At 36.2% G+C, this 21,763-nt stretch overlaps 1 protein-coding gene across 1 annotated transcript in view; it reads right to left on the bottom strand.

Moving 5' to 3' along the window:
* ARHGAP24 (Rho GTPase activating protein 24) overlaps positions 1-21,763 on the bottom strand; it is a 527,517-nt gene that overhangs the window by 414,314 nt on the left and 91,440 nt on the right. Inside the window, exon 2 of the mRNA NM_001025616.3 lies at positions 17,632-17,831. Within this exon, the coding sequence (NP_001020787.2) occupies positions 17,632-17,811 (180 nt within the window). The 5' untranslated portion in view covers positions 17,812-17,831. The remainder of the gene's footprint in view (positions 1-17,631; positions 17,832-21,763) is intronic.

The raw sequence follows: 21,763 nt of genomic DNA, 5'->3' as shown, positions 1-21,763 counted from the left end.
TGCTTTTATTTTCTCTTAAAACAACAAATGAAAACTATTACATTAAAAGGCAGCAAGAAGCATTTAGCAAGCACAAAACGTCAACAATTAAAAAGCAACAGCAGGCTTCTGTGAAGAACCCAATCATGTGCATGCATAGCATTTAGTGACTGGCTGATCAAGAAAAGCAACTCTGCCTCTTGGTGAGGCTGACAGTGTGTTCAAGATAAAGGCAGGGATGACTGAGAAATCCCTTGGTGATGAGGTTACCAGCCCACAGGCCTGTTTTCCCTCTGCATGTTATCCCCTCAGCCCAGCATATCCTTCCTTCCTTCTCTTTGCATGACAGTCTTCTTTCTTCTTTAGATCTCAATTTAAATGTGACCTTCCCTTCCTTTCTGTCTAAATAGGCCCTACTATCATGACCACCACTGCACCAGTATTGTCTGTCTAGTTCTCTATTTTCCTCATAGTAGGTTACTTTCCTTACTTGTTAAATGGCTGTCTCCCCCATCATAATCGAGCTTCACAAGAGCAGTGACTTGTTTTAGATCAAGCATACCTGGGATATATCACATGCATAAATCTATTCATGAATAAATGCAGAAGGAAAGAAGGATGGAAGGAATGAAGAAGAAAGGAAGCCAAGAGTCCTAGTCTATCAAGTCCAAGGGATTGATGGAACTGCACTTATTTCATTTATTAAAACACGGCATGATTAGACCACTATTTGTCAATTTGACTAAAGTGTATACTTCTAAAGAAAAAAACTCACTGGCTGTAAAAGTCAAGTTAAATATTTTTATGGTAATAAAATAATATATCAACATAAGCCCCCCACCCAAATTCACAAGCCTATACTGAACAAACTAAAATACTAATAAAATTTAAACATCATTACATGTTAAAATCAACATTCATGTGATCTGCTAGATGATGCTTTTTTCTTTTAAAAGGATGATCACACACAACATGAAGTAACTACTAACTATTATAGCACAGGGGCAACTGAAGCCACAACTTATCTCTATTCTAACTACTGGGGAACTTTTGTTCAGACAGTACTGTAATGGCGACATCATTCGGCCTTCTCTTTATGAGAATGTAATATTTCTCTGTATTAATTTACCTCTGTTCTGTTGGGTCAATTAAGGAATACCACTTGGGGTCAATGTGATTAGAAAGACAAACTAAACATGACTATTAATAACACAAGGCACTGTTTGACTACATAAAAGTAACATAGATACTTATAGAAGTTTCTATGAGTACTTTTTAAAATTCCAATAGAGAATTCATCAATCTACCATTTTGAGAAAAGAGAACACATATTGGGTTGTGGCCTATTCTTTAGTTACAGTGCTTATAGCAGAAGACCTGGCTTTGAAACTCTGCTAAAAATATAAGCAATTTTAAGGTATTATGTGAATTAAGCAATTTTCAACTTTATTTTTATTTATTTATTTATTTATTTTTGAGAGGGAGTCTTGCTCTGTTGCCCAGGCTGGAGTGCAGTGGAGCAATGTCGGTTCACCGCAACATCCACCTCCCAGGTTCAAGCGATTCTCCTGCCTCAGCCTCTCAAGTAGCTGGGACTACAGGAACGTGCCACCATGCCTGGCTAATTTTTGTATTTTTAGTAGAGATGGGGTTTCACCATATTGGCCAGGCTGGTCTCCAGCTCCTGACCTTGTGATTCACCCGCCTCAGCCTTCCAAAGTGCTGGGATTACAGGTGTGAGCCACCACGCCCGGCCCAATTCTCAACTTTATTAAGCCTGAGAATCCCTTATACGAATTATAATCTTCTCTGACCCTCAGCTTCCTTTTCTATCAAATGATAGATGTAACATCGTAGATATTCAAGCTTCATTCTGTTTGAAATATAGGGATTAGCATACCACCAAAATAGTATTATGATTGAATATCTGAGTCTCTTATTCAACCAATCACATGTCACCATGAAACTGTATTCACAGGTAGTAAAACAAGCTCCCAAACACTTTATTATTGATGCAGGCTTTGGGCCAAAGCTGCTTCGTAGATCTCTGGTAAGAAAGTATGAACAAAGATTCCTTTTCCCTATGCATGCTAAGTGTATGTGGTCTTGAATCACAGAATCTTACTTACTCTATTTCAACCCAAATCCCAAATCCAAGTCTCCATTCTTACCACTCCACTGGGATGTAATGCCTCACCATAGCAATTGGCTAAAAGAATATGAGCAAGAACAAGAAAGAGAGGGGGGAAAAAAAGAAAGAGCGATAACAAGAGGCATCCACTTGACCTTCCCAGAGTGGGGCAAATGCTCCTGCAATCATTTTCTGAGAGAGAGAATGGAGAAAAATAGTTAAAAATCAAGGGAGATGCTGATATACAAAAAAGGACTAGAAAATTGGAGGGATTCCAGGAGTCAGAAATTGTTGCTCCAATGAGAGATCTGGACCAAGTATTTTATACATGTGACCACGAACCAACTAGATGCAAAGGATAAAGAGATAATTGGCACTTTTCCCTTCTGGATAGTAGTCCCTGGGGAACCAAAGGTAGGAAAAAGAGACTAATGTCTCAGCATGCTCCAGACTGGACTTTTAATACATTACTGTAAGCCACCAGTAAAACAGTGACTAGTGAAAAAGCTCTGAAGCCTAACTTACAAAAGCAGACTTTCCTTTCCTTGGAGATGGAATAAGGAAAATGAAAGCAAGAACGAACATCTTCCATCTACTCAATTCCATGAAATTATAAAAATTATTTTATTCTTTGACAGAAATGTCCAAAATCTATTCTTCAACATCATCACATCAACAGGTATTCAAGTCCCATAGCCATTTTGTTATAACCCTTAAATGGAAATAGAGTTAAGAAGAGTACCTCTCCCACAGATTCCCCCAGGTTTCTCTCTAGGACTTAAAACACCAGAGGTGGATTCAACAGGATTCCACAAAAGTGAGTGGTGAGTGCCAGAGGCAGGCTTGATAGCCACACTCTTCTCAGTTCTCTGTCCCATGCCCAAGAAGACAGTCCATGGCACATTTCCTGATTAGCCATTTCCATTTTATGTACCATAATTTAGTCACAATCATCAGCTACTGCTCTGAATCACTTTTGTCTTGTGTCAAAAACAGAAGGAATACATCTGCTTTTGTTAACAAATCTTTTTCATTGTATGAGTTGATAAAGGCAGGTAGAAACAAAACTCAGGTTTATATTGCATGGCATTGATGGATCAGAGTGATGTAATGTGAAACAACTAAAAGTGGGAACCACCTGCAAATGCCCATAGAGCTAAAAGAGGCTATTTCATGAATTATTGCAAAAAAAATGAGGATTAGATATAAGTAGATGGGTTTTAGCAAGCTCTACAATTCATCTTGCATACACACTCTTTGAGTATTCTTAGTAAACAACCAAGCATGGTCTACAGAAGGCCAATATGCCTTCTCCTAGGACCTCTAAGCAAAACTTAAGAGTTATTAACATAATTACTAGAACCCCCAGGATGCCTCTAAATTGTCATGATTTCAAAGAGGATAGGGTTCTTCAGCAGGGATATGACAAGCTGTATTCTTATTTATTAAAGTAGGAATGAAGTTCCTTCTTTTTTCTCCCTGATAAAAAAATGTAGTAAAAACACCTTTTGGCACTAGTTTGGATCCTGCCCATATCTACAGAATATTTATTTTTTCCTTCCTGGACTTATTTTTATACCTATATTTTTCACTGTATGCCTCGTTTTGCCAATTGCTAGCCTTGGGATATAGATTTTTTTCTTTTATTATTATTATACTTTAAGTTTTAGGGTACATGTGCACAATGTGCAGGTTAGTTACATATGTATACATGTGTCATGCTGGTGTGCTGCACCCATTAACTCGTCATTTAGCATTAGGTATATCTCCTAATGCTATCCCTCCCCCCTCCCCCAACCCCACAACAGTCCTCAGAGTGGGATGTTCCCCTTCCTGTGTCCATGTGTTCTCATTGTTCAATTTGCATCTATGAGTGAGAACATGTGGTGTTTGGTTTTTTGTCCTTGTGATAGTTTACTGAGAATGATGATTTCCAATTTCATCCATGTCCCTACAAAGGACATGAACTCATCATTTTTTGTGGCTGCATAGTATTCCATGGTGTATATGTGCCACATTTCTTAATCCAGTCTATCATTGTTGGACATCTGGGTTGGTTCCAAGTCTTTGCTATTGTGAATAGTGCCACAATAAACATACGTGTGCATGTGTCTTTATAGCAGCATGATTTATAGTCCTTTGGGTATATACCCAGTAATGGGATGGCTGGGTCAAATGGTATTTCTAGTTCTAGATCCCTGAGGAATCGCCACACTGACTTCCACAATGGTTGAACTAGTTTACGGTCCCACCAACAGTGTCAAAGTGTTCCTATTTCTGCACATCCTCTCCAGCACCTGTTGTTTCCTGACTTTTTAACGATTGCCATTCTAACTGGTGTGAGATGGTATCTCATTGTGGTTTTGATTTGCATTTCTCTGATGGCCAGTGATGGTGAGCATTTTTTCATGTGTTTTTTGGCTGCATAAATGTCTTCTTTTGAGAAGTGTCTATTCATGTCCTTTGCCCACTTTTTGATGGGGTTTTTTTTTTTTTCTTGTAAATTTGTTTGAGTTCATTGTAGATTCTGGATATTAGCCCTTTGTCAGATGAGTAGGTTGCGAAAATTTTCTCCCATTTTGTAGGATGCCTGTTCACTCTGATGGTAGTTTCTTTTGCTGTGCAGAAGCTCTTTAGTTTAATTAGATCCCATTTGTCAATTTTGTCTTTTGTTGCCACTGCTTTAGGTGTTTTAGACATGAAGTCCTTGCCCATGCCTATGTCCTGAATGGTAATGCCTAGGTTTTCTTCTAGGGTTTTTATGGTTTTAGGTCTAACGTTTAAGTCTTTAAAGGATACAGATTTTTTAACCCTTCTGAAGTTCTGTCTCTTGATCTATTAAAAAACATCTAATGAATAAAGTGTTGTGAGAATTAATAGAATAATAATATAAATAGAGTACTGAACACATAAGACATAACAGTTCATAATAAACATTTACCCTTTTTCATCTTCCTGGAAAGCCACAATAGAGTGAAGGATTACTTATTAAAATACATCTTTAATTTTTATTAGCTAAACCATCTTTAATTGTCACTCTAAGAAAATATTTGAAACTGAGGAATAGTTTGAGTTAGTTACACTAGACAAGAAAACTTGTTATTTTAATTTCTGAGCTCAGTAATATTGCTAATGCATTTTACTAGAAAAAATCAAAAATTTTCAAATTTTTTGACAGACATCAAAACAGGAAAGCTAGAAGAGTATCAGCTGTGTGGAATGCAACATAATGTAAGTCCCCAGGGAAGCACCGCACAACTCCTGTTTCTCAATCCAGAATATTAAAGGAAACAACAGGTCAGAAACAAAAGTGCAGTTTCCGACCAGCCACATAAAGTAATCAGAGACACATAAACTTGGAAAGACAACAAATATTGCTTCTTAAATTATTACTTCTAAGATAAAATCAAATTATATAATTTGAAATAGCTTAGTGAAAAATATGTTGAAACTTTTCAATTCAGACCATTACCTGAGATCCATAAATGTTTTTGCAGGTTTTTTTCCCCCGGTAATACTAGGTTGTGTAATAGTAAGAGTTGAACGATTAAAGTATCTGACATTTAAATCAACCCCATTGTACACTTTTTGGATATTGACATAAAGAGTGTTACAGTCTCTGTAGGCATATCTTTGTAAACATAATTCATTGAAAAATGAATTACTCATACAATTTCAAGCAGTAAACTACAGTCTAATGTTTTAAAAATCCAGCCAAGTTTTCTATCTCATGCGTTTTGTATCTCATAATTTTGGATGGAAAGGGCTTTAAAGGGAGCAGTCTGATTGTCCATATCTTTAAAATATTCTCAAGCAGTTTAAAGAGTCAAAAACGGAGATAACATCTTAAATAAACACTATATTTATCAAAATTGCATGTAAAATGATGATTCTTTAAAGAGTCATTTTTGAAAATGTATTTTAGATAAGCCATAGTGTCATTATTTGTGGTAATGACTAAAACTGGCTTCAAGATTTTTACTTCAATATTCAAAATTCAGGCTAAGATAGAAAACAGAATATTTACAAATCTTCTCATAGGTTGAAAATGGAATTACTGCTCATTTTCCCATAGGATACTCTAAAGATCGAGTGTCTCATTTCCAAAATATCTTTGGATATTGCAATGCAAATTTCATAGGCAAATTCAATGACTTGGGAAACAAAGTATTAGCTCATTGAAAGAATTATGATAACTTAATTTTTAAAAAGCAGGAACTTTTGTGGGGCTACACAAAACTTCTAGAAACCTGGGATTAAATAACAACTCTGAAGCCATCAGCTTCTTCTCTTCATTTGATAGAGGAAGTACAGAAAGAAGGGACTAATACAAGGTAACGCAACTCATTAATAGAAGAATAAAGTCCATAACCCAAAAGTACCTTTGGCTTATTTACCACCACATGTATTTTATATATGTATAAAACAGAAATTGACAGGTAGAAAATCTCCTTTAAAATCTAGAGAAAATGTAACTGTTAAATACTGGAATTTAAAAAAAACTAGGAAAAGTTTCAAAATAGACACAGAAATTTAGCACTGAAAAACTGTTCAAAAATTGTACTAGAATCTTACTGCTAATGTTTTCTGCCTTCCCTGGAGAAGATTATGAATGTTAAAAAACACAGTTAAGTTAGAGCTACGTTGGTTTATTCAAATAATCAATGCACCCTTCAAGCAAGGCCAGTACTACAGCATTTACAACTCATGTCTAAGTCAGTGAGCTCTTATCCATAGATTCAATTCTTTATCTTAAATTTTCTCAGGATTGGCCACAAAGTAGAACAAGTTTATCTGCACTATTTTATTTCTAAACATGAGTGAAGAATTACATATTATTTAAGCATCTGTAATCCCATATCTAGAAAAACATGTTTAAGTAGAAATTCAGGTTCACAAAGATGAGTTAAGGATTCTGCTAATAAATAGAATTGATTCTATTAATCTTTTCTAACTACGTGACATGAACATAAACAATAAGTCAGAAGAGAAATAATTTATCATAAGTTAAAATATATGTAATGCTTATTATGCTATATTTTAGTACTTTAATATTTTAAAATATTAAAATCATATTTGTGTATATGGCAAGGTACCTAGCTCATAAGCAGTATAGAATATTATTTCAAGTTAATAATCATAAGAAATCAGAAACAGGAAGGATTTTTACAATTGTGGAAAAATTCTTTGATGAGAAAATATTAGTTCCACTTATCTGGGACAATAAAAAGTAGGTACATTTGATTTATAAGCTGTAGTTTCAAAAATATAAGAGTATAACATAGGTTTTTGTAATGAGATGTTAAATAGGAATTATTCTATTGTCTCTGACAGGTTGCTGGAATCTAAAAGCTAAAATGAAGAGGTACTAAGTGCCTTACTCTTCTACGAGACAACAGAACAACAGAATAGAACCAAACCCAGTCAGATACGATCACTGTGGCCAGAACCACTATCTGTCCTCCCCTTCCGGCTACAGGCAAAACATCTGAAAGGAGAGTCCATAACTCCCTTGAGTCAAGGAAGATAAAACTCCAGCAGTCACTGGCTACTGGAGAGACTGGGAGTTCTTGCCTCAGTTTGTCACGTGCTGAGGCTGCTTTGCACTTATCCTTGAGTAATAGACAAAAGAACTGGAAAAAGTTCGTAGAGCAAAGAAAATTTTGGGGCCATGTGGAGGGGCCTGCAATACCATATTTGTCATGGCAACCATGTATGGATTTCTAGTGAGTTCATGTGAAATAATGAAAAGTGGGTCCCCAGGTGATAGGACTTTAGCAAGAAGCTGTGGGGTGTACTGCCAATTCTGAGAGCTGAAAGGTGAAGAAAAAGGACAAGATAGGTTATTTTTGTCATATTTAACATCTGGGAAGTCGAGATGGTCATCAACAGCCACAAATTAGCCAGAAAGGCAGAAACAACCAATATGGACATGTAGTCCCCAACAGCAATAGGCTCTTAGGCAGAGATTCATTTGTCTTTGCTCACCTGTTCTCACCAGTTCTCAGTAACAGAGACTTCAAAGACAAGGAAAGATTATCCAGCTCATGGTTTCTCTGCCTAGGTCTCTCTCTCTCTCTCTCTCTCTCCATCACCCTCCCCCCCCACCACACACACAAACACATACACAGGGTGTGGAGGGACGCAGATGAGATTTAAACCAAGTGTGAGGCTTGAGTTTTAAATTAGATTGAAATTGAATAAAAATGATCGGCATAGTTCCTCAAAAGGTTAAACATACAGTTACCATATGACACAGTCACTCCACTCCTAGGTGTATGCTCAAGAGAAATGAAAACATATGGCTACAAAAACACTTGTAAATGAATATTCAGAGCAGCATTATTTATAATAACCAAAAAGTGTAAACAACCCATATGTCCATCAACCGACAAATGGATTTTAAAAAGTGTTATATTAATACAATGGAATATTTTTCAACAAAAGAAGAAACAAAGTACTGATAGCATGTTACAACATGAATGAACCTGGAAAATATTATGCTAAAAGAAAAAAGCCAAATTTCAGAAAGTGAGAACACTAATTTTTGTATCTGGATTGCTTCCTTGTACATAAAAAGTGATCAAAACACTCTAAAATTGTAATTTCATAGTTTATAATTGATAAATAGTCACCAAATGAATGAACATATGGTGACAGCTCTAAAAAACGAGAAGCAGCTGGATTTAGGCAAGATAAAGCTAAAGAAGAGAAGACATGAAAATTGAATAGCAAAAAAAAAAAAAAAACCTAAAAGAGAACAAGTAACAAATGGCTATGAAATATTTAATATATCAAGGGCAAAAAAATAGGCTTTTAAAACACATTGCTGTAAACACCAAAAATGTAAATATTCAAATTATATTTTTACTCATTTGTTTTTTCCCCTAAAGTTTCTTCTCCTCTAGTTGGTATAATGGAAATTTTCCTGAGTTTGTGCACATGAGATAGTCTGAATATGGACTACCTGGTTCCATATATTGAATTGCATCACAAATACAAAAGCCTTCAGTTAATAAGAGTAGATGTGAGAATAGAACTCAAGGAATTCAACTCCAATAGTTCTCCCTTCAACTGGTGCTGAGAAACCAGAAAACCAGTGCTGTCTCTGGGGTAGCCGGTTTTGCAAAGAGAATTCTTCAAGTCTCCTTGGCTGTCATCATAACCATTTTGATAAACTCTGAAGGAGCCCAGAAAAGTAATGTAAACAAAGAGAAAAGACATACTACAAAGGAGAGTATTGTTCTGAAATCTTTCCATGTAATAAGTTCAATGTTTGACAGCATAGGTGACAAGTGAAAACAAGTTATTTTCTGCTCTGAAGTTAGCATGACCAACGAAAAGCACCTCCCTGTAAATCTTACATGGGCTGATCATCTATTATTCCCTTCATTATACAATTAATAAAGTATATATTATAGATCTTAACTTCTAAACTGCTGTGTTAATGTATCCTGATGGACAAAGATGGTACAAATGATGATGATGATGATAGTAACATCAATAGCTAATATTTATTAACTGCTTTATATATGGACAGGTACTGTGTAAGCATTCTAGAAACATTATTTCATGTATTGTTAACAACTATTCTGAGATAGGTATTTTATGATGTATATTTTACAGATGAGAATAATGAATTTTATGAACTTAGCCAAGCCCTATAGCTGGTAGTGAGTCTAGACTGAACCCAGGCAGACTGATTCTAGAAACTGCACAAAAAAACAAGTGGACTCAACTGCCTCCCAGGGAAGTGCCTATACCGGACAAATCAATTCTGGAGAAAATTATGAGTGTGAAAATGGTCTCACATGCTGTGATCCCTCTGCCCATCAATCTTTTTTTGTGCAAGATATCCTCTGTGCTTTTCCATCTCAGGTGCCCTCTCCAGCAGCGACAGATTTTCTTAGCTCTTCCTCCTACAGTCAAAAGCGACCTGAGGAGCATTCCTGTAATTCCTACTTACACGCTAATGGAATGATGGCAGGTCAAGTATTTATCTATAGCATAGTTGCTTTTCATAATTTTTCCAGGGACTAGATAATAATATAAAATAGTCAATTATAGGAGTTGCAGGACTGCCACGGAATGCCTTTTCAGATAGGCAGGCATTTTGGATTCCTTCACAGTGAACTGTACATAGAATGAGTTCTGTTTTAACTGTTTAGCTTTAAGTCTAATAAACCAAGAAAAATGGGCATATAAAGGCAGGGAAAATGTAAGGTCCCAAGATAAAATCTAAGATATTTACCACTGCTTTCTGGACTCTTAACAAACTTGCCTCTGCTTTCTTCTCCAAATCTCTCTCTCTTCTTGTCCTCTTTCTTAGGTATGGGAATACTTGACCATTATCAATTTCTAACAACTTACAAAAGGGCTATGGCCTACACCTTTTCTTTGCCATAAATACCACTCCAGCAGCTACGGATACCATCCTTCATTTCTCAGGTTAAATTATTCCTTTGAGAAGCTCTCCCTGAACCTTGAAGTGGTGGTAGGGGCTCCTCCTATGACTTCCAATGGTTCCCTATTTTATCTTTATTAAAATACTTATTACACTGTATAATAACTATAATTATGCCTAATACCCACTAGAATTTAACTCCTTCTTCACAAATGCTTGGTATTACTTTAGTCACGTATAGCAGACAGTTCTCACTCTCGCGCTCCTCTGCTCCCAGGATCAATCTAGGCTCCAAGTCCAGCCTCCTTTGCAGTTAGATGTGCTCATGTGACTCAGTACTATCTAACTAACAAAATGTGAACAGAAGTGACAAGGGCCACTACCATGTCTGGTCCATCTGATCCTTCTAGGCAATACGCTATTTTATATTCCCATGGTGAATTTGGAAGCCAAAAGTTAAAATTGCAAAATCACTGGAAGCCTAGGTTTCTAAATAGTTGTTTGAAGCAAACTTTCCTTACTTACCTAGAATAATTTTGGACTTTCACCTGAGCTGCTTCTTTCTAAATCTTTATTTTGAGGGATCTATTATATATATATTTTTTTTTCCTATGATATATATTATAAATATAAATATATATATTTCCTAGAATCTAGAATAATACTTGTAGGTACATTAGAAATCTATAAATATGTGTTCACTTAAAAAATCAAATGAATGAGTAGTATTAATATCTTAAACAATAAATTCTATTTTTCTCATATTAATTTATAAAAATACTAATGTTTATTTCATGCTTACCATGTATCATTGCTTTCCAAAATCAGATAAATAAAGTATCTCATTTAATACCCAAAATAATGTTATGAAGTATTTACTATCATAATCTCATTATACAGATTAGTAAATTGAAGCTTAGACCAGCTAAATCATTTGCCCAATGTATCCGAATTAGTAACTATATGAGCTAAGATTCAATTCGAATAATTTTATTCTAAAGCCTATGTCTTTACTCTTAAAAAAGTTATTCCTATATTGCTGTGTAGAGGAAAGCAATAAAATTTTAAATAACAGTGGAATAAAATAATATTTTATATGAATAATACTTTCACTTCATATAATCATTTCTAGGAAAGTGCTAAGAATTTCTAAGAATTTATGATGACACACAGTACCATCTTAGTGTCGTTTTAAACACCAAAAGAATCAGATGCTACACAGAAAGTTAGTTTTAGATTTGAGGATGATATCTAAGTTTCAAGGTTTCTAGTATTATTTTAAATACTTCATCGAGGCTTTGGCTTCATAAATGTTAACGGGACAGCAATTGCCTTAGAGATTTCTAGATTTCATTAACACACGAGTTTCATTAAATATATAAAATTAGAACTTACTTTTTTTTTTTTTTGAGATGGAGTCTCGCTCTGTCGCCCAGGCTGGAGTGCAGTGGCGCGATCTCTCCTCACTGCAAGCTCCGCCTCCCGGGTTCGCGCCATTTTCCTGCCTCAGCCTCCGGAGTAGGTGGTACTACAGGCGCCCGCCACCATGCCCGGCTAATTTTGTTTTTGTATTTTTAGTAGAGACGGGGTTTCACCGTGTTAGCCAGGATAGTCTCGATCTGACCTCGTGATCCACCCGCCTCGGCCTCCCAAAGTGCTGGGATTACAGGCGTGAGCCACTGCGCCCAGCCTAGAGCTTACTCTTAAATCAGCAATCAATCCTTGCACATTTAGAGGTCAGCCCTCAGGTTATAATTCACTCAGAATCACTTTGTCCTCTAAGTTAAGAAAATCCATTGTGATCTAATATAGTGTCATCTTGATCAGGCACAGAAAAAACCTTCCCCACATAATTGGATCAATATCTGTTGTAGAAAGTCTAGACCACATTAATTGGGTTGGTGCTTATTTAGATTTTAGTCATTTTATCAGGAGTTTCAGACTGGCTTCTAAAAATCGATGCCCTGCTGTGTCAAATTCTAGCACAGGGGTATGTCAGAGGCTTTCTCTAGTATGGCCAAGCTTGAGACTTAGCTTTTATTTAAGTAATAATATGCTACATAATAGAAGTAAAATAGGTGGGCCTGAAAAACCATTAGGAAAATTTATCACTGGATTCACTTAACAAAACCTGCACAATTGCCTTATTTTTAAGATAACTATAATCATACTTCATCTCTGACTTGGCTGCTCCCCCCATGTTATTGTATTGACAAGGCCATGGTCATTTGTCATGATTGATGAAACATGCCAGAACAGATATTGTCATGAATTCAGTTCAAATGTGTTTTAAAATCCTTTCTAATAGGTATCCAAAGTCCTTTGGGGTGTGCGGCGTAGGAGGAAGATTCTTTTTTATAGATTCTTCTGTACAGAATGATTTTACACTTTTTCCTCTGCATGTAAATACAATGAAATTTGTAAGATAAAATACAAAAGATATTACTTAAAAACTGGAAAAATTCAGCACTATAAAATGTTTATAGTAGTGGCCTGTGAGTGACAAGAATTATAGATGTATTAATGTACTTTCAAAAATGGCCTGCATGCATCACCTTCCTGTTTGTTTTTATAAAAACAATCAAAATCAACTTTATTTTTTAAATATGCTCTGGATAAAATCTGTATAAGTGCAAATACTTGTAGACAATGGATTCTGGAGACGGTTTTCTCCTAGATGAACTAAAGCTGCTTTTTTTAATTAAAAAAATTACAGGATAATGAGGATGTTTAGTTTGATTGATATTAAATATTAAATAGCTATATTATGAGACAAGCCTCTCATATTGCCAGGTATTGTTGGCTAAGCACTGGAAAGTCATTGTTTACAAATCAGGTACTGTCTCCAGAGAGCTGAGAGCCTTGAGGCACCTTTGCCTTTTGCTCAAAAAGAAAATACAAGAAAAGTGGCATTGAAACTTTCTAAGTTCTCAAATTTGGGCAGGTTGTTGAATATTTGGAAGGCAAGGTGCAAGTTGAATAAGAACATGAAACATTCATAGTAAGTTCCAATATTTAAGTACATAATGCACTAAATCAGATATAGTGTGTTCTCATAGCAATAAAAATTGAAGACAGAGACGTAAGGAAAATCTAATTGAGAAACTCATATTTATTAACTTAGGTTTTCAATGTATTAGGAAACAACTGTCATGATTCCTTTCTGAGATTAACATAGTTGTGTAGTTTGAGTATCACAGATGCTCTGGAAATAGCTTCTCACTGCCTACTAAGGAACCCCTTTTCCATTGGGGCCCCCCGTTTCTCTCTAACTGCATTCTTGCCATACATTCACCCTTGCAATATGGAGCTATCTATAGATATCTATTTTACAACTCCATGTCTTTCCTCTGCTCTGAATTCCTTTCCCCAATTTATCTACCTGGAAAACTCACATCTACCTTCAAAATCCCAGGTCAGGGTCACCTCTTGCCTTATGCAGCCCTTCCCAAGCCCTCTAGACAGTCCTCACTCACTCCTTGCCACTAACTGTACCTGTGTACTCATAGCATCGGCATTTTCAGGGTAGCCTGTCATTATTATAATTTTGCTTTCCCTCAACAGATGAGCAGTTTTTCATAATAAGGATAATGATGGAGTTTGATTTGACTCTTTTTATTGAGTAAAACAACTCAGTGAAAATTTACTATAATAAATTAAGAACTTTAACCAAGGACAAGAAGGACACACATTTCATGGGTTTTATACTCTCATTTTAGAAGTGCCTTTTAAGAAAGTAAAAAAACAAAAAGCAAGTTAAGATTATTGAATATTTCCAGCTGGTTAGGAATGTTTAAAAGAAAGAATTTTTAAAATTTTACTCATGATATTTTCTCCATATTATTGAAATAGACCGCATCAAAATATATGAAGACCATGGACATTCTTACGTTGGAAGCATTGAAGTGAAAAGAAAAAAGCAAGAAATACCTCTGACTAAAAGCAAAGGTAAAGGAAAGTTGAGGACTAATGAGAAGGCAAGGATGAGGCAGAGGAAGCACTGGATCTAGAAGCAAGAAAGTGACTCCTAGCTCCTCATCTGTCACTTATTAACAATGTCCTTTTGGCTGTTACACACAGATACACACACAACCACACACATGTAATCATAAACACACAAATACAAAATGACAGGTTTTAGGACAAATTATTTTCCACTTTCAACATTTTTCAAGGTGCTCAATTATTCTCCATTTAGATGTTATGATTCTTTAAAAGATATTCTACAATATATCACTGCAGGTCTTATTTAATGTGGCTTAAACTTTGTTGTTTTAAATAGCATGATTTTGATAGATGGGAGTTGAGAACAGTATCACTCATGGTGCCTTGGTCCTGGCCCTGCTGCTGCATGGCTCTAGACACATTCCACTGACTCATTAACTCATTCAAAAATATGCTATTAACAGTTACCATGTGCCAGGCATCTACTCTCACTTGGTCTATTTTAAGGGAAGAAATTAGGCCACTCATAGAACAATATAGAATGTTTGTATATTACAAAGTTCCCTCTGATACAGAAATTGTCAGTTCTTAATCTGAATTTGTATGCGTGTGTTTAAACATCAGGGCAAAACATTAAAAAGCTCAATGTTAAAATTCTCAGTGCTTGAATTGTATGAAAGTTAGTTAAAAAAGAAAATTCAAAGTTATTTCTCCCAAGGCTGGGCGCAGTGACTCACGCCTGTAATCCTAGCACTTTGGGAGGCTGAGGCAGGTGGATCATCTGAGGTCAGGAGTTCAAGACCAGCATGGCCAACACGGTGAAACCCGTCTCTACTAAAAATACAAAAAATTAGCCGGGTGTGGTGGCGCACTCATGTAGTCCCAGCTACTTGGGGTCCTGAGACAGGAGAATCGCTTGAACCCAGGAGGCAGAGGTTGCAGTGAGCCGAGATCGCACCACCGCACTCCAGCCTGGGCTACAGAGTGAGACTCCATCTCAAAAAAAAAAAAAAAAAAAAGAAAGAAAAAAGAATAAAGTTATTTATCCTACATTTTAACTGCTTTATTAATCACAAATCTTTAACAAATAATACATAGAATGAAAAATTTAAAAACATTTTTAGGGGGATGGTGATGGTCTGTTTGGTTTGTAAAAGAATTAGTACTTTTTGGTCAATACAAGTCTATTTTGTTAATTTTAGTTATAGTAAGTCTACAAATACTAGTAATACTAGTAACATGCTAATGTAAAAATACTATTTATCTTGGAAATACTATGAATTAATATAATTTTCATTTTGAGGTAGATTTTCATTTGAATTAATCTGGAGTTTTTACATTTTAAAATATATATTTTCAACTTTTTAATCAATATAACCACTAGAGTGCCTGCTAGTCATGAAGATACAGTGGATCCAAGACTGTGGTCCGTGTTTCTCAAATTTGAGAATGTGCAAATGTCAGAGAATGTGCACATGAATTCTAGTTTGAGGAACTCTGCCCTAAATTGTTCAAAAAAGATATTATCATATCGCCTGGGATATGGCCCTCTATGTATTTTTTCACAGATAGTATTCACTGTGTTCCTCCGTAACGAAATCCCCACATTGGACCCCCTAAATTCTGTCTTTTCACATTAACCTGGTTCCTTTCTCTGAGTTTGGTAAAAATAATTTTATATTCAAGATAATACCTTAATCTGATTATTAGATAATTATAAAACAAGGTGCAATTAGAAAAGAACCGTGGAGGGTAAGATAGGAGACAAAAAAACTCCATTAATTTGCCTATGATCTTGATTACATCACTTCATATCTCTAAGCCACAGTTTCCTCCTCTGTAAAAATAATCCCCATATTCCCCACTGGTTTGCAATGACAAATGAAATAACAGATATGGAAAGTACTATAACTGTCATGATACCAATATGGGACCTTCTTAATTTACTTACAATGTCTTGGGCTAAAGCTATACGAACTCAAACTTACTTGAGACAAATTATTAAACCACTGTTTGTTTAACTTTGGGTAATCTGCATTACACATAAACCTTGGTGTTCATGCACAAAGAGAGTTAACAATACCTACCTCATAGGATTATTTTAAGTATTTCATAAGATAATATATGTAATTTTTAGCCTGATGTCCAGCCTTGGTAAATGCCTAAAAAGTAGTAGCAATTTCAAAAAAAAAGACCAAGGTTTGTAGCATGTATTTTTATTGCTATTTTTAGGGAGTTCAATTAGAGGAATGAGAACATCATGAAATTATAATGCCTTAGGAACTTAAAATACTAAAGCAGAGACCTGGTCCAAATTCCTAATTAAGTTCTTTAACACAAGAGGAAATAGCCTCAAGAACATACTGTTAGGGTTGTTTATATAAACGAATCTAAAATGTTTCTTCTCTCATGTATGTATCCTATAGACGTAGATGAAAAACACACACATAAGTGATGCCTCAGTTTGCATACCCTCTCATCAACTGATAAGCCATGATGAACCTGAGAAAACTGTTGCAACTATGGAAATGCAGATGAAGATTATTCTTCTCTCTCATTGCAGTCTTGAGACTTGTGGTTGAGAAAATAAGTAAATAAGCAAATAAAGAACCACTAAGGAACTACAAAGCAACAGAGACTATTCACAGAAGGATTGGTACATTATGTATGCTGGTTGAATGTATCAGTGTCATTTGGTTTAGTACCACATCCATATTTTATGTGAGTTAAGGTATGGAGGGAAACCTCTGAGAATTGATACTGAAAATGTCTCATAAATTACTGAAAGTTGTGCCTACAGTTCTTCCTTCAAACCTGTGCTTTCCATTTACTCCTGAGAAAAAGAAAGATGTTTTGGCTATGATATATCTTTTAGCAGATGTCTACTAAAATTTTCTCATGAACTAAGTTTGCCAGAGGAAGTGAGACCTTCTCCTCTGGCTTAGTAAATATTAAAATTAATATTAGACAAGTATAATTTGCCTCTTGGCCTCAATTAGCGATTTTATTATCTCCAACTCAAAGCAAGCAATGGGTAAAAGGGTGAAAGATGACAATGAACTGAAGGAGACCAGGGAGCTTTGGGTGGTCTCAGTCCCAATCGGTTTCTAGCAAATCCCTCTATTTCTTGGCTTTCTTAGGCCCTTAATGCTTTACATTTTCTCCTACTCACCAAGGGCTTGGTTTCATCTTCATCTTTGAAATAATAGAGCTGATCCCCCTTGAGCACAAACCAGCGAGTATGCCAAGTCTTGACAAAGCCTCCTTGCTTCCTCAGCCACCCACACTTGATGGCATTCTGCCGCCCTTGGCCTTGTTGGGGGTTCTCCGTGGAGTCATTGTTCTCCTCCATTATCAAGCTGATGGACTTTCCTAGTTAGCAAACAAAAAGAAAGGAAAATAATGAGGTGCTCTGTTATATTCAACTCCCTTTTAAACCACTCTTCTCCAGAAAAAAAAAAAGAGAGAGAGAGAGGAAAGAAAGAAAGAAAGAAAGAAAGAAAGAAAGAAAGAAAGAAAGAAAGAAAGAGAAAGAAAGAAAGAAGAAAGAAAAAAAGAAAGAGAGAGAGAGAAAGAGAAAGAGAGAGAGAGCAAGGGAAGTAAAGGTAAGGAAAGGGGAAGGGGAAGGGAGTGGGAGAAGGGGTGAAAAATGTTCCTCAACTCATTGGCCAAATTTCTAGACACAAACCACAGACCTGGCAACAATATGCCCAGAGGAAACGTGGAGAGAGCTTGTTGTGCCCTCCTGCCTTCTTAAATGAATTCAGCAGCTGAGTGGTGCTCTTTGTCCCTAAGTAGAACTGAAAAATAAGTAAGTTCTAGAGGTAATGTGTGAAGAAGGAATTTCTAAAAAAAACCTAAGTAGAACTGAAAAATGAGAAAGTTCTAGAGGCAATGTGTGAAGAAGGAATTTCTATAAACAAACTAAAACATAACTCTCAAGATTATGGCCTCTGTGTCTGTTGGGCACAGCCTAGGACAGGCCCCTGCAGGCCTAGGTTTACCTGAGCAAGAGCTAGCCTGACGTGTGTCCCCATTTCAAGAGACTATTCAGAAAATCTTAATGGAAGACATTTGTCTTACATAGGTGAACATATCTCAAGATGTTTCTACCCTCTGTTTCCCAGACTATTCCCTCAACAATTTCTTTGGCTGGTCAGGGATTCGTACAGCTGAAAAAGTTTAAGAGAAAACAAACAAACAAAAACACCTGCTTTTGCTAGTTTTTTCTATAGTTTTTTCCTTTCTCCTACAGCCATTCTCAAGCTTCAGGAGGGTGTGGTGTGCACCAGTCATGACATGATGAGGAATATTTTAAGGTTATGTGTGAAGGAGTATACGGCCATACTACCTATACATAAGCAAGAAAATGAGTTCTTCATTGGAAAAATATTAACCAACAGGTGAGATGCTAAAACTGCCCCAGTAAGAACAGAGAAGGTGGACATTCTGGGGGAGCCAGGGACAAGTGGTTAAAAGAGATTTTCCTGTCCCAAAATCTTCTTCCAAATTCTTGCTAATGTTTATTTCTAAACATTTATTCAGGAATTGGGAAGCCCTCTCTAACTCTTGTGTCTTTGATGAGGTTATAAAGATATTGATTATCTGATAAAACGTAGATTATTCCTGTCCAGGCATATATTATCTGATAAAACGTAGATTATTCCTGTCCAGGCATATAAACAAAGTCCCTGTTTTATCATTTCTGATCAATTCTGGAAGACAAGCTGTCTTTCTGTCTGGTCTTTATATTCATCACTATTTTTTAATCAATTTGCATGTATACAATTCTACTTATAAATTCCATGAAGTTTCTATTGTCAGCCCTTGGTCATTTTTGTTTCTTCCTTGAAGGCTCAGGGTCAAATCTTCCATAATTGCACTTCAAGTTCTCTCAATTTAGTCCTGCCATTCCTGTTGCAGGGATGAAGCAGAACTTTCGTTCTAATTACTTCTTATTTTAATAACTTCAACCATCTTTGCAGAAGATTTGCCTCCTTCACTGGCATATATTTCAATCTATCACTATCCTTGCCTTAATCTTCACCTCTTAAACTACTTTTAAACTTCAAGGAGGTCACTTGACTATTTTCTGTCTCATTCAATACGCACTTCTTTCCTTTCTTAAAAAACAGGCCCCTGTCTCTACAATACGTCTGGACACTTCCTTTGCTCTATGGGGCATTCCATGACCATAACCACTTATTGCAGAAAACACTCTCCCCTCAGGTGTGTGCCCGTGTGTCTGCAGACTGGACCATGCCTGATGCCTCCAATTTGCTATGCCCTGCAGAGCAGGAACTTTCATCTCCTTTCTTTCGCAGTACCCGACCTACTATGATGAGCCAAGAACTCCACTCTAACTGAACAATTAATGCTGTAAGGTAATTTAGATAATAAGTATGCTTAGCTAGACCACCCTAAATAATCTTTTTCATCTCCTGGTATTTAAACTGCTTAAATCTACACAACTTGCTGTTTCATCACTGCCTATTTATTCTTTGACCAAACACCTTAATTTATAAAGTTAAATGGGACCTTAAAACAAACATTCCACCACACACACACGCCCCCCTCCCCCCCGCAACAAACATGCACACACAAATCTAGAATTCATTGCACAACAAATTACTTAGGGCCCTTAGGTAATTTTTTCTTTCCTCTCAAATTCATGCTTTCTATGAAGTTTGAAAAATTCCCTCTAAAATGCTTCAAGGTTATTAGCAACCTACCATTGATAATATAAAAAATACAAGTAGATATTTCCCCTTTTGTGTACATTAATGCCTTAGTGAGAAATGTGTGTACACTAGAACATGGTTTCTGATTCCTTTTGCATATGTTGTTTATAAGTCTGACCGAAGTCAATGACAAATTGCCCACTGAACTGACTATAATGCCTATATTTTTATGATTTCAGAATGCATCGGAAAGTGCTTTACTAATGCTAATTGAAGACTAATTGTAACAATTCATTAAAACAGAAATGAAAACAGACTTATATGCCTAAGGGAAAAAATGCCACAACTATTGTTAGATGAGGAAAATTAAGTTTTACTAAAACAACCATAATTTTTATAGAGAAGTCTTAATATTTCTGGAGAAATAAAATGATTAAAATTCTACACTTCATCTTTAAAATGAGGATGCTGGGCTGGATTATTTCCAACTATGGTCTCTTCTAGCACTCTGAAATCTATCATCTCTGTAATTCCATAAGTGTAGGGACATCAGATACCCTTACTACTCAGTACGATGTCTGGCATGCAGTGAAGCTCAATCAATGTTTGATGAAGTAATCAATTTTGCAATAGGTTTCATACTAAGTGTCTAAAAGTGAACACGATCTCCCTTTGAAACATGATCTTCCCCCAAACCTGATCTTAGTAAATGACACCATGATACACCCAGTTGCAAAGAAAAATATACAGAAAACTGATCATTTGATTCATAACTCTTCCTCACCCCGGATATCAAATCAATCAGTAAATTCAGAATACCTCTAAAAAATAGTTCAAATCCATCCTTTTGGCTTCATCTCTATTGCCACCTTATGGTGCAGTCCACTATTATCTTTTGAGGAGATGATTCTAATAGCCTTCCAAGGAGTCTCACTGCTTCCATTTTTAGCCATAAACACAAACACACAGGTACATGCTCACACATATTTCATTCTCTAAAATGCAGCCAAAGCGAGCTTTTAAAGATTCAAATCAGATAAGGATTCTCAACATCTGAAAATGTTGTTGGCTTCCCACTGTACTTATTTCAAAATCCAGAGTCTTACCATGGCCTATAAGGCTCTGAATCATCTGGCACCTCTTTACCTCTCTAACCTAATCTCATGCCACCTTCTCCCCATCCCTCCCCATACCATACACATACATACTTAACCACTCTTGTCTCCTTTCAGTTCTGGAAACAGCCAAGCTCCTTTATCCCTTGCTGATTTCTGCCTAGAAAACTCTGTCTTGGGCTCTTTTCATGCTCAACTCCTTTTTATCTAAGTTTTGGCTTAAAATCTGTCTCCTCCAAAAACCTTCACTAATCACCCTGTGAATCAGGTAACCTCTTTCTATTCTCTATCGCTGAACTGTGTCCTTTGTCTCCCTGACACTTCTCTAAATTGCTATGTCTTTAGTTGTTTATTGTCTATCACCCCACCAGGAGACCATAAGCTTCACGAGGTCAAGGACATGGCTTTCCTTGCTGTGCATACCCAGTGATACCCAGTGCCTTTAATAGTGCTTACCTGGTACTCAATAAACCTGTTGAATCAACAGATGGAGCTCTGCAATAATCAC

This window comes from Homo sapiens, chromosome 4 (genome assembly GCF_000001405.40).
Source record: "Homo sapiens chromosome 4, GRCh38.p14 Primary Assembly".
NCBI classification, from domain to species: domain Eukaryota; kingdom Metazoa; phylum Chordata; class Mammalia; order Primates; family Hominidae; genus Homo; species Homo sapiens.
This window is presented reverse-complemented; position numbering and strand designations above follow the sequence as displayed.